The sequence below is a fragment of the Homo sapiens genome, chromosome 2 (genome assembly GCF_000001405.40).
Source record: "Homo sapiens chromosome 2, GRCh38.p14 Primary Assembly".
Classification (NCBI taxonomy): Eukaryota; Metazoa; Chordata; class Mammalia; order Primates; family Hominidae; genus Homo; species Homo sapiens.
The window spans coordinates 69,973,071-69,986,213 of NC_000002.12; the positions used below are offsets into that span (position 1 = coordinate 69,973,071).

The 13,143-nt window shown below is 48.7% G+C and overlaps 1 protein-coding gene and 1 long non-coding RNA gene across 12 annotated transcripts in view, besides 4 other annotated features; both read right to left on the bottom strand.

The window, feature by feature from the left end:
• Positions 1-13,143, bottom strand: part of ASPRV1 (aspartic peptidase retroviral like 1) — a 154,659-nt gene that overhangs the window by 40,354 nt on the left and 101,162 nt on the right. The window contains exon 7 of one of the 10 annotated variants that reach the window (NR_170375.1): positions 2,485-2,565. The exons of the other annotated variants lie outside the window; for them this stretch is intronic. The gene's annotated coding sequence lies outside the window, so the exon portion shown is untranslated. The remainder of the gene's footprint in view (positions 1-2,484; positions 2,566-13,143) is intronic. 10 annotated transcript variants of the gene reach the window in all.
• PCBP1-AS1 (PCBP1 antisense RNA 1) overlaps positions 1-13,143 on the bottom strand; it is a 125,946-nt gene that overhangs the window by 10,808 nt on the left and 101,995 nt on the right. The window contains exon 5 of one of the 2 annotated variants that reach the window (NR_183088.1): positions 8,246-8,478. The exons of the other annotated variant lie outside the window; for it this stretch is intronic. This is a non-coding gene — a long non-coding RNA (PCBP1 antisense RNA 1). Of the gene's footprint in view, positions 1-8,245; positions 8,479-13,143 lie in introns of those variants that run through there. 2 annotated transcript variants of the gene reach the window in all.
• Positions 2,665-3,176: an enhancer, noted in NCBI's record as "H3K4me1 hESC enhancer chr2:70202867-70203378 (GRCh37/hg19 assembly coordinates)". NCBI's record gives its function as "activates a minimal SCP1, AML or CMV promoter by ChIP-STARR-seq in naive H9 embryonic stem cells {active_cell/tissue: H9 hESC(naive)}" and the evidence as "EXISTENCE:reporter gene assay evidence [ECO:0000049][PMID:30033119]".
• Positions 3,177-3,687: an enhancer, noted in NCBI's record as "H3K4me1 hESC enhancer chr2:70203379-70203889 (GRCh37/hg19 assembly coordinates)". NCBI's record gives its function as "activates a minimal SCP1, AML or CMV promoter by ChIP-STARR-seq in naive H9 embryonic stem cells {active_cell/tissue: H9 hESC(naive)}" and the evidence as "EXISTENCE:reporter gene assay evidence [ECO:0000049][PMID:30033119]".
• Positions 11,420-11,920: an enhancer, noted in NCBI's record as "H3K4me1 hESC enhancer chr2:70211622-70212122 (GRCh37/hg19 assembly coordinates)". NCBI's record gives its function as "activates a minimal SCP1, AML or CMV promoter by ChIP-STARR-seq in primed H9 embryonic stem cells {active_cell/tissue: H9 hESC(primed)}" and the evidence as "EXISTENCE:reporter gene assay evidence [ECO:0000049][PMID:30033119]".
• Positions 11,921-12,421: an enhancer, noted in NCBI's record as "H3K4me1 hESC enhancer chr2:70212123-70212623 (GRCh37/hg19 assembly coordinates)". NCBI's record gives its function as "activates a minimal SCP1, AML or CMV promoter by ChIP-STARR-seq in primed H9 embryonic stem cells {active_cell/tissue: H9 hESC(primed)}" and the evidence as "EXISTENCE:reporter gene assay evidence [ECO:0000049][PMID:30033119]".

Below are 13,143 nucleotides of genomic sequence, written 5' to 3' on the forward strand. Positions count from 1 at the left end.
AGCTCTCTGGGGAAAATGCATGCATATATACACATACATACATTTATGATAAATTTTATTGACATAAAGGATGGCTAATAATTTACAAATAATAAAAAATATATACTACTCTTTACTGTAAATTGCATATGGCCAGTTGGGTCTTACAGGATGCTTTCATTGATTTTTGCCAACCTGCTGAATCTATAACCAGCCTACAGTTGTAACTGATAAATGAATGTAGTTCCAACATGAATGTTAACTGATATTTTTGTTTGTACCAACTAGCAAGAAAAAAGTGAAGCCAGAAAGACAGATGTTGGAACTTCACTTGTTGTTTTTTTTTTACAGAATGGGTTGCCCAGAACTTGGAGTGCAGTGGAATGTTCATAGCTCACTGTAACCACAAACGCCTGGGCTCAAGAGATCCTCCTGCCTCAGATAGTGCACACCACGCCCAGCTAACTTTTTTATTTTTTGTAGAGAACTGGTTTAGTTATATTGCCCAGGCTGGTCTTGGACTCCTGGCCTCGAGCAATCCTCCCGCCTGGACCTCCCAAAGTGCTGGGATCACAGGCAAGAGCCACTGCACCTGGCCAGAACTTTACTTGTTTGTCAATGGTGTTAGCAATTTCTTTACTGAAGCAGAGAATAGTTTTTGAATACTGGAAGAATATTTCCTTCATTTTTCTGTGCCATTCACAATGCAATGGCCATTGGCAAAACATACATTTAAGTTTAATGTGCATTATTAGCATTTTCTCCATAACCTTCTTAAGTCTAGATAGTCAACCAAATAATGAATAAAGCCCTGATTTGTGGTGGTTGCTGCCCACTTCTGTGGTGTAAATATTCCCACTGTGGCTGATTTCAATCCACCAATATGATGTCACTGAATGCAGACTTGGGGAAAAAGCACAGTAACACAACATTATATAGTATTTCCACAGATGTAATAGATGTACATAATCTTAAAAGAATAAAGAATAATAAAATATAAAATTATTGCCAGGCATGGTGGCTCATGCCTGTAATCCCAACACTTTGGGAGACCGAGGCGGGCAGATCACCTGACGTCAGGAGTTCGAGACCAGCCTGACCAACAAGGAGAAACTCTGTCTCTAATAACAATACAAAATTAGCCAGGCATGGTGGTGCATGCCTGTTTTCCCAGCTACTCAGGAGGCTGAGGCAGGAGAATCCCTTGGACCTGGGAGGCGGAGGTTGCAATGAGCTGAGATCGTGCCATTGCACTCCAGCCTGAGCAACAAGAGTGAAACTCCATCTCAAAAAAAAAAAAATTATTAGGAAGTGATGGTTTTTGAAAATTTATTATTTTTGCCTTAATATAATTCATTTAATTGTAAGTTTATATAATTTAATTTATAATTTAATTTTTCATAATAGCTGGGTTTAACCATTGGTTCATGAAATTCCTGAAGATTTAACAATCAGCTCATAGGAACTGGTATGATCTGAGCACACCTGGATCTGAACCCCAAGCCCAGCTCTTCCTTGAGCAGGGCCCTCAAAAGGCTCTCCAAAACCTGATGGCCCTGCCCAATGTATATTTTTCAGATCTATCAGCGAAACTGAACTCATTTTCTTTCTCTCCAGTCTGCTCCTCTGTGGGCTGCCATGTTGGTGGAGGGCTTCGCCATTCACCCTGGGGTGGCAGGAGTTGTGGATGAGAACTCTGGACAGGAAGAAGGCTGGGATCAGAGGATGGGGATTTTGGAATTGTTTAGAGCAGAGGTGAAATAGTTTTGGGTAATGACAATGTTGGGTGGGTGAAGAGTCCCTGGGCTGAGGAGGGCACAGAACCGTAAGGCTAGGCTGTTCCTGGAGGTCGGGGTATGGGCTGATGGCATGTTCACACTCCTGTTACATCTTCTGTCAACTAGCTTCCCTGCAACAAGCTGTGTCTGACAGTCCTCCAGAGCTCCTGGGGCAGGGGTCCCAGAGCCGACTGTGGGTCACACGCGACAAACTCCCACACCCATATTCCTCTGGGATTGCTCCAGGCTAAGGTTGGATTCTCAGGCAGGAGGAAGGAGGATCAGCCTTGGCCAGAGGCACAGAAAGCTGCAAAGCCCCCAGCCCCTCCCTTGAAGGGCAGAGCTCCTTTTGAGGACAGAGAAGATCTGGAGGGGATGTGGAGGCAGGTGTTTAACAGAGGACTTGAATGTATCTGGGATTTCCATGGCAGTGATGCCTGGACGGAGGCCAGAGTGTCCTAGGTGAAGTGGGGGATTCTGAATGGAGCCCACAGACAGCAAGAGCCCAGCCTGCAACCCACCTTTCCTTTCACGTCACCTGACTCCCTGTCCGCACTGCTGCCCCTCGGCCTCCCTGCCGGTGCTGCTCCTCCCCCGAGAAGCTTCCCTGCCTCCTCCCATGTACTTCAGGGAACTGGTAAGTTTGGAAAGCACCCAGAATTACTTGAGGAAAAGACTGTAGCAAGTACAATTTGAATTTGCCAAGAGACTTTGCCACCAAATTCACTTGCCTAGAGAGAGAGGCGAAGTCCATGGGTTTCTCCCTGTGGTTCTGTGGCTTCACCGGGAAAATGTGGGCCTTGCTGAGCTATGGAGGGGAAAGGAAAGGAGCGTGAAGGAGACAGGAGGCAGAAGCTCCTCACAGTGCCCAGCACGCAGTAGGGGCCGAGATGATGTGCTGAATGATGGGCCTCATGGCCATGTGAGTGGAAGGCCAGGCAGAGCTGCTTGTTTAATATCTCCTACTCTTTCCCCCGTGGTCAGTGAATTTGCTTTTGGTTTTGAATTTGCTTTGGCTGAACCAGGGACAATTTCTACATGGCCTTGAGGCCACAGGCATATGTAGTCAACTGCACACCTCAGGGTGCAAGGGGTTACACCTGTTCCTTGCTCAAAAGTCATGGGAAGTTGCTAAACAGACCAAAAGAAGAACCAGCACGCTTACTGCTCTCCGTCCTCCCCTTCCCCACCCCACCCCCAGCTGTTAGCTCACAGAGGGTCAAAACAGGCAAGATAAAATCTGTCCAACTCACAGCTTCAAAGGAACACAAGTTAGACATGTGACCCAACCGCACCCAGCCTTGTCCCTCCCAGGTGCATGGCCCTGGAAGGCCCAACCCTCCGGCCACGTGGTCCGTGTAGAGGCCAGGTGGGCAAAGCCTTCCGTTCCAGACCCAGTGCTGCCCTCCCATGAGATCCCAATCTGATTTTGGTCTTCTTGTAGTTCTCCTTGGAAGCCAGGCCCAGCCCCACACTGCCTCCTCCTCACGCTCACCTGGCTCCCTCCAATCCGATCTGGGGCAGGAGGCGATGCAGACCGCAGTCTTCACCGCAACCTCGACCCTGAGGGCCCAGAGTCAGTGCTGGAGCCACCTACCAGGAGTCACTTCCATAGCCCTTGAGGCTGAATGAGAGCCCTCGGGTTCTTGGATAGCAGAGAACACAACCCAGACATGGCTCTGGATATGAAACAAATCCTTTCTGAACCTGACACCAGACTTTTCCCCAGAGGTGATTTTTTAATTATTTTTTGAATGCTTTCCAGATTTGACTGAATGAATGGGTGACAATGACCCTAAGTCATGAGCCTTCAAGGCCTGTACACTTGTGGGTTAAGAAAGCCCTTTCTCAGCCTGGCATGGCTGGCCCCCTCCCTTTCCCCCTCCAGGCACAGAGTGTCCTGGTAAGGTATGATGGCACAATACAGCCTCTCCACGCCTTATTTCCACCATCTCCTGTCACTGTGCCCCCATCAAAGCACACACAGAGAGAGTCCCAAATCAGACCAACCTATAGGAACAGAGTGCCCCTGACAAAACACACACACTCATACACCGAGGAGACACAAACTGGGCAAAAATGGGACAGGCAAGGTGACTCATGCCTGTAATTCCAGCACTTTGGGAAGCCGCGGCAGGTGGATCGCCTGAGGTCAGGAGTTCGAGACCAGCCTGGCCAACATGGTGAAACCCCGTCTCTACTAAAAATACAAAACTTGGCCAGGCATGGTGGCGCGCACCTGTAGTCCCAGCTACTCGGGAGGCTGAGGCAGGAGAATCACTTGAACATGGGAGGAGGAGGTTGCACCACTGCACTCCAGCCTGGGCTACAGAGTGAGACTCTGTAAAAAAAAATAAAAAATAAAAAGGAAAAAAATTGGGCAAAAATGTAGAAATTCAATTTTACTGAACTTTTTTAAAAAATTATGGGAATTCCCAGTGTCTCAAAAGAAAATGACAACCTCCAGACAAGCACATTTAAGTAAACAACATAAAGGCACTGACAGCCACTGTGGGTGGGAAGTCACTGGCAATGGGAGCCCTGCCCCCTCAGGGTTCCGTCATTGTTTTGCAGGTGCGATTCCTGCTTCCCCCACCATTCTGTAAGTTGTGTAAGATGCTGTCGAAAGATCACGGGGCTGAAAGGCAGGAACCTCATGTTCCAAACCCAAGACTGGCCCGGTATCTGCGTGACCTTGGGCGAGGTCCTCTGCATCTCTGAACTATCGTGTCTCCATCTGTAAAATGAAGGTTGACCTTCCTGGATAATTTCGTCTTGGGTTTCTACTGTACTCTCACTCTACCTGGCCCATTACCACCTAGGAGGGGCCTAATAAATACAAATGAAAAGAAGTGGCCCCAAATGATCTTTTAGTCAATATAACCCCAATTCTGGTTTCAGCTAAGATTTGGATACAGAAAGTACCATTTCCCCACTAGTTCAATGGGAAAGTTGGGTGGAATGCATCTTTGGAGGGTCACAAAGTGGAAATTAGTAACTCCAGAGGGGGGAGTGAAGAAAAGGAGGTGACAAAGTAGCCAGTGGGACCTGTTGGTGTCACCCTGAGTTGTGTCATTCCAGGCTGTCTGGCCTGTCCTCTAGGTCATGAGCCCCAGAAGTGGGTCCATGCCCTTGGGTGGTGAATGACAAGTGTGGGTATGGATCCCCTAGACACTAAATTCAAACTCAGACATCCCCTACCCTGCCCTAGCCCATAAAGGAAGCAGGCTGGGGCCCTATGGGCTTCCTTTGCACAAATGCAACTGGCCAGGTGCCTGTTTCTGGCTACAACCCTCTGCAGGGCGGGTGTGCTGGCAGTCTTGGGGCTTAAGGCCAGGCAGTGATCCCAGCATTCTGAGAAATGCTTGCTCCAACCCCCAGAGAAGCTTCTTCCCCAGGGGGCTCTGTACTCTCCCAACACTCTTTCCACCCCTCCAAGCCTCCAGGGGAGTCTCCTTGGGGAAAGTTTTCCCAGGCTGGTTCTGAGCGTGGTCACACACTCATCCCTGGATAGTTGCCCCATAGAGGGGACACAACCCGGAGGGCCAGGGAGCTCAGTCTGAGAATGGGACCAGCACTGCCTCACCCACTAGGCCACCTTAGGAAAACAACTTTGGGCCCCATTTTCCCCTTCACAAAATGAAAACGACAGGCCCAGCCCATCAAGCAGTTATGCGGATTAAAGGAGATAACGCATAACAGCCTTAGGCCAAACCCAGAGCTACCTCCCGTTCACCCTGATGATTACGCAGAGCTACAAAAGCCCTCACAGATTACACCAACGACAAGCCACAGCAAGGCATGACAAGGTTAAGAAAGCCCTTTCCCAGCCTGACACGGGTGAGGGTGTCCTGGTGAGGCAGTGACTGGGAAAGGCCCCGAACACCGGAAGCAAACCTCGCGCCCTCCAAGGTGGTAGCAGCCCGTGGACAGGAGAGCCGGGCTGCCTCAGAGGTCATGGAACCCTCCCCTTCATTGCACAACTGAGGAAACTCCCAGACGATGGGTGACTTGTCAGAGGCCACACGGCAGGTCTGTGCCATTTGGACAAGAGGCCATATCTTCATATTTCTTCTCTGTGTGGCCAGATTATTTCCTTAGATACTCATGTGTGTTTCAATGGTTGCATTTTTCCTCCTCCTCCCATTCCAAGAAGGTCTTGGACCTGTCCTCTTTTGGGTGTCCCTGTTGCAGGGGACGTGTTTTTTGTTTGTTTTTGTTTTTTTGAGACAAAGTCTCATTCTGTCACTAGGCTGGAGTGCAGTGGTGTGATCTCGGCTCACCGCAAGCTCCACCTCCTGGATTCAAGCGATTCTTCTGCCTCAGCCTCCTGAGTAGCTGGGACTACAGGTGCATGCCACCACACCCAGCTAATTTTTGTATTTTTAGTAGAGATGGGGTTTCACCATGTTGGCCAGGATGGTCTCAATCTCCTGACCTCATGATCCACCCGCCTCGGCCTCCCAAAGTGCTGGGATTATAGGTGTGAGCCACCACGCCCGGCCAGGGACGTTTGAGTTTCAGGACCAGGCAGAAGCCACCCCAGGCCCTTCTCTCCTTTGCCTCTTTGTTTCAGTGTCTGGGCTCCTTGTAGTCTCTGAGGGAAGAGTCTTCGGAGAAAATGAGAACAGAGAGGGGAGGAGGAACTGGGGAGTGGGAAGAGGGCAGAGGCCTGTACTATGTCCCTCTGGGAGGGGCAGGACACAGAGGTGGGGAGGCCAGCCCTGGACATGGGACCCCCCTCAAACTGGGCACAAAGGCCCCCAAAATGGCCTGGGGGCAGAGTCTCAGCCTCATGAGGCCCTTGAGAGTGACAGGCCCCTTGCCTGTCCACATTTCTGGGCAACCTCCTGGATTCTTGGGTGACCCTCACTGGATGGGGCCTAAAAATGACCAAGATGAAGTTTCCTCCTCCTCAGGCACCATGGGAGCTCAGAGTTGGAGCTGAGTTGATTTCAGGAGCGTTTCCTGCCACCTGGGTTGGTGGACTAAGCTCCACGCTCTCCATACGAGGCACTGCTCAGTCCCCTTCACCACATTGCTCTCTACAACACCATCACCCACTTGGAGGATGCTTTACACAGTGACTTCACGATCATCTTCTAGTACCTGAACAGGCCTAAATTGTGCCCATTTAATGGGTGAAAAAACTAGGGCTCAGAAAATAGAATGAGATTTCCCCCTGCCGCTGGCCTGCCCCAGAGAGCAGGGAGCCTCATTGTCGCTGGGTTCCACCACCTGGGCAGGCCTCCGAGGGAGAAACCAAGTCTGTACAGGGAGCACGTGGGCAGCCTGCCCTCCCCCATGGCCCCTTCAGTGACTTAGTAGGATGCAGCACCAGTCACAGCTTCTAGATGCTCACCTGACTCTGGCTGTGTGTCACCTTGAGTGGAAGCTAAAGATCTAAACACTGACAAAAATTCCTGCAGGTGATTGAGAAATCAAAAACAAAGAAAAGCAACTGGCCACCAAACAGATGAAAAAATCCGTAAACTCATTAGCAATGAATTAATGCCCACTAAAGCCACATTGTTATTATTGCTATTTCTCTTTTAAGTTGGCAAAGTCTTTTTCTCATTCCCTGCAATGCTATTTGTGGGAATATAAATTTATATGATTTTCAAGTGTACATGCACACACATACATACAAATGTGTATGTATGTGTATATTTATCTAAGAAGTCTCACAAATATTCACACCCTAAATACAACATGCTATCCTGGAATGTATCCCAGAACAGTAAAGGACATTCATGGAAAAAATGATGAAATCCCAAAATATCTGGAGTTTACTTAACAGTATCATACCAATGTTAGTTTATTAGTTTTGGCAAATGTACCCTGGTTAGGTAAGATAGGAACGTTAGAGGAAGCTGGATAAAAGATATATGGGAATTCTCTCTACTATCTTTTCAACTTTCTATAAATCCAAAATTATTTTATTTTTTATTTACTTATTTATTTTGAGACAGAGTTTCGCTCTTGTTGCCCAGGATGGAGCGCAATGGAGAGATCTCAGCTCACTGCAATCTCCCCCTCCTGGATTCAAGTGATTTTCCAGCCTCAGCCTCCCGAGTAGCTGGGATTACAGGCGCCCGCCACCAGGCCTGGCTAATTTTTGTATTTTTGGTAGAGATGGGGTTTCTCCATTTTGGCCAGGCTGATCTCAAACTCCTGACTTCAGATGATCTGCCCACCTTGGCCTCCCAGAGGGCTGGGATTACAGGCGTGAGCCACTGCATCTGGCCTAAAATTATTTTAAAATAAAAGGTCTTTTTTAAAGCTCACATTCTTTTACCCAGAATTTCACTTCTAAGATTTTATCTAAACTTATCAGAGAAATAGATGGACATCCTTTACTTGCAAGGATATTGCACCACTTGTGATAATTACAAAAAAGTATGAAAATTATCTATATGTCCAAGAACAGTAAGTAGATTAAATAAATTATGCTGCATCCAATGATGATAGAAAGTGGACAGAAAGTATTACATTATAATATTTATTGACGTGGAAAATGCTTACAATAGAAGGTTAAGCAGAATAATTAGGACACAAAACTAGATACACTTTAAGCTCAATAAAATTTTTTAAACTATGTACCATATATTAAGAGTAGTTACAAATGGATCATATAATTAGAGTGAATCATAGTTTCTTCTAAATGCATTTATAAATTTTTACACAAAGAAATATGTTTATAATCAGGAGAAAAGGTTTTCTTTGTTGTTGTTGTTTGTTTGTTTTGGGATGGAGTCTTACTCTGTTACCCAGGCTGGAGTGCAGTGGCGCGATCTCGGCTCACTGCAACCTCCGCCTCCCGGGTTCGAGCAATTATCCTGCCTCAGCCTCCTGGGTAGCTGGGTTTACAGGCACATGCCACAATGCTCAGCTAATTTTTTTGTATTTTTAGTAGAGATGAGGTTTCACCAGGTTGGCCAGGCTGGTCCTGAACTCATGACCTCAAGTGATCCGCCTGCCTTGGCCTCCCAAAGTGCTGGGATTATAGGCGTGAGCCACCATGCTCGGCTATTTTCTCTACTTTTAAATGATGCACAGGTTGGTAGAGCCCAGTTGCCTGTAACCCCAGAGCCAGGTCTATGTCGGCAGAGCAGGTGGCCATCTGCATGATGGAAGGGGCCCTGAGGAAGTGATCCTAACTGCAAATCTCTCCCTACGGGCTCCTTCCTCTCTCCCTCCCTCTCATCTATCCATCCATCCATCCATCCATCCATCCATCCATCCATCCATCCATCCTTCCATCCATCGGGCACAAGAGCTGCAATGCTCAGGAGGCCTTACAACAAGGATCTACTCTTCAGAGCTACCCTTTGAAGTGGACACTCTGTGATTAAATCTCTTCTATTAAGGCTAGGCATGGTGGCTCATGCCTATAAAGGAGGATCATTTGAGCCCAGGAGTTCGAGACCAGCCTGGGCAAGAGAGAGAGACCTCATCCCTACTAAAAAAAAAAAAAAAATAGCCAGGCCTCTTGGCACATGCCTGTAGACCCAGCTACTTGGGAGGCTGAGGAGGGAGGATCACTCAAGCCCAGAAGTTCAAGGCTGGAATGAGCTGTGATCCTGCCACTGCACTCCAGCCTGGGTGACAGAGCAAAACCCTGTCTCAAAAAATAAGTTTTCTAAGATTTTTAAATTGACCACTTATGTGGGAATTAATTGATCAGAGCTTTCTGGCCATATGGGTAGCTGAAAGGGGAGGAGGCACAGGAGGTACCAGCTGTACTAAAGAAAAAAATAAAGGGAGAGGTTGGCGGCAACTGGTGCCTCATGGGACAGACGCACCTGGGTGAGGACAGGAGGACACTGGGCACTAGGAGTCGTCAAGCAGAGCAGGGAAGACAGAGTCATGCAGGCTGGGCAGTCCTGGGGGCTGCTTCCCCCCTTCTCAGGCCTGCAGCTGGTCACCACAAAACCTTAGGCCTCTGAAGTGTGGCCCCTCAGACCTGGAAGCCCTTTAAGATGCCCTGAGCAGATGGCATCGCTGCGTCAGAACCCTGGAGCAGAAAGGGCTAGCAAGGCTGGCAGATGGGCCCCTCCCCTCACCCTGTGGGGGCCTCTGGAACCCTGAGTATTTATTTATTTTTTTGAGATGGAGTCTTGCCCTGTCACCCAGGCTGGAGTGCAGTGGTGTGATCTTGGCTCACTGCAACCTCCATCTCCAGCGTTCAAGTGATTCTCCTGCTCCAGCCTCCCGAGTAGCTGGGATTACAGGTGTGTGCCACCACTCCCGGCTAATTTTTGTATCTTTAGTAGAGACAGGGTTTCACCATGTTGGCCAGGTCGGTCTTGAACTTCCGAGCTCAGGCAATCCGCCCACCATGGCCTCCCAAAGTGCTGGGATTCCAGGCGTGAGCCACCATGTCTGGCTGGAACCCTGAGTATTTCTGTCTTTTTCTCATTGGAGCGTCTTGTACTGGATGCTCAAGTTCTAGTGGCCTCCCCATGAACACATTTTTGCAGGATTTGGCCAAGAGCAAAGTAAAAAGAAGAGCTGGTTTTGAAAAGGCAGAAGTAGGAAGAAGCAAATGGGGATTTCAGCACTGGCCTGAGTTCTGTTCCCTAGGGCATAGGGAATTCTGTGAAGAGCAGGTGAGGATTTGGCCTGGGACTCTCAGGGAGGGACCAGAAGGCAGGAGGCCTCAGAGCAGGGCAGCCTTTTGGGCAAAGCTGCCACCTCCTGCTCGGGCCCAGCTAGGCTGAGCTGGGCTGGGCTGGATGTGGCAGGCAGGGAGATGGTGTGTTGAAATTAAAATTGGTGGAGGAATCTGAGGAATGGGGGAGGGTAGGGGAGCAGTAATTACACAGTTCTGTGAATGAGGGCTGACCTGGAGGGCCTAAGCGGGCACTGGTGTGGAGGTGGGAAGGTGAGGGATTCTCATGTGCGGTGGTCAACAGTTCTGCTTGTCCAGCAACTTCTGCTTCCCTTATTCTGGACAGCACCTCACTTTTCTGAGGGGGAACTACTTCTCCCCCAGTTCCATCATGGTACTGGTGGGGCTGTCAGCCCAGGATCCAAGCCAGCCAGTAAGACTGTCTGAGAGATTTGAACCTGGAGGTCACACAAGGAGACTAGCACTGCCTCTGCCCAGAAGCAGTCTTCCTATTCCTGAAACCCCAGTCCCTCCTTTCCCAGCCTTCCTGAGGTCTTGGGATTCAACCCTTTCTTCAACTCTATGAACGAGGAGGTTTTATTTTTATTTTTATTTGAGACAGAGTCTCACTCTGTTGCCCAGGCTGGAGTGCAGTGGTGCAATCTCAGCTCACTGAAACTTCCACCTCCCAGGTTTAAGCAATTCTCCTGCCTTAGCCTCCCAAGTAGCTGGGATTACAGGGGTGCACCACCATACCCAGCTAATTTTTGTATTTTTAGTAGAGACGAGGTTTCACCATGTTGGCCAGGCTGGTCTCAAATTCCTGACCTCAGGTGATCCACCTGCCTCAGCCTCCCAAAGTGCTGGGATTACAGGTGTGAGCCACCGCACCCAGCCAGAAGTTTTTAAATAAATGCTCTTTTTGGCTTAAGTTCATTAAATCCAAACTGATACCTCATGCAAAACCTGAGCTATGGTAATAATAATCCCCATTATTTACAGCATGAATACACTGAGTTCTACCATGTGCTGAGAACAGTGTGGGACACATCACACACATTAATCTAATCTAATTCTCATTTTACAGATGCAGAAACTAGGACATAGAGATAGAGACCATGTCTATAGATCCACACTTAAAAGAGATAGAAAGGGGATTCAGGTCCAGCTTTTTTTTTTTTTTTTTTTTTTTTTTTTGAGACAGAGTCTTGCTCTGTCACCCAGGCTGGAGTGCAATATTGCGATCTCGGCTCCCTGCAACCTCTATCTCCCAGGTTCAAGCGATTCTCCTGCCTCAGCCTACCGAGTAGCTGGGATTGCAGCCGCCTGGCACCACGCCCAGTTTTTTTGTATCTTTAGTAGAGACGGGTTTTCACCATGTTGGACAGGCTGGTCTCAAACTCCTGTCAGGGCCAGCTTTTTTTTTTTTTTTTGAGGCAGAGTCTCGCTCTGTCGCCCAGGCTAGAGGGCAGTGGCGCAATCTCGGCTCACTGCAAGCTCTGTCTCCCAGGTTCACGCCATTCTCCTGCCTCAGCCTCCCGAGTAGCTGGGACTACAGGCACCCACCACCACGCCCAGCTAATTTTTTGTATTTTTAGTAGAGACGGGGTTTCACTGTGTTAGCCAGGATGGTCTCGATCTCCTGACCTTGTGATCTGCCCACCTCGGCCTCCCGAAGTGCTGGGATTACGGGCGTGAGCCACGGCGCCCGGCCCAGGTCCAGCTTTATCTGGCTTCCAAACCTACGCTCTTTTCTTTGCTCTTCCCTCTCTTCCTTCCTTCCTTCTCTCCTTCCCTTCTTTCCTTCCTTCCCTTTTTTCTCTTTCTTTTGGAATCAGACCTCAGGGACAGATTGCTGAGTTAGCCACACTCCTCATTTCCTGGCACCTGATCGCCACTGGTTCATGCGAAGTCCTTCCCTTGTTTCATGACGCACATTCTTCCCATCTCACTAAATCCCCTTCCCATGGCCCCATGATCATGGCTCACATGTGATGGGCCCTGGCCTTTCACCAACAGTCACTCCAGATACTTGGTTGTGTCAAGCCTTTGGGTTTCTTTGTGTCCTTGGGGATCAAAATCCACTTAGACTTAGGAAACTTTTCAGCAGTTCCATCCATTGGCCAACCCATCAGCCCTGTTATGGGCTCAGCTCTGGGCTGGGCTGAGATATAGAACTAGTAAGAAAGGGAAACTTCAAGAAGTTTAAAATTCCTTCCATTCAACAAATGCATATGGGGCACTGACTTCCTGTGCAGGTCCAGGATAGAAAGATGAATACAACTTTCTGGCGCCTGAGACCATGAGCCTTATTAAGCAATTACTACCTTGGGTCACAGACTGCTGTAGACGAGGTGGTGAAGAGCTCAGACAGACATGGAACCCAGCCCTGGACATGAAGCAGATGGCAGTGTTAGCCACAGAAATCACAAAGAACCACACACCTACGTAAGCACAACCGTTTCTGCTCACCCGTCTCGGCATTGTGCAATCACAGTTGGCAAGACGGCTCATCGAATTTGGAGGGGAAGTTTGGAATGGCCAGACTTAAAACGCAGACTATGTGGCAAGCAGTAATAAAAACTCACTGTCGGGACAGGGGGAATACCTCAGAGAAGGAAGCAGTCATCCTTGACTTATGGAGACTCAGAGCAGGGGGCCTGTCAGACTGTTGAGTGGGACACAGATGTGCCCATCCATATATGCCTGCCCATGAACAAGTAAGCAAGGCGTCTAATATGAATCCCAATCAAAAGACACAAGTGCAGAAAG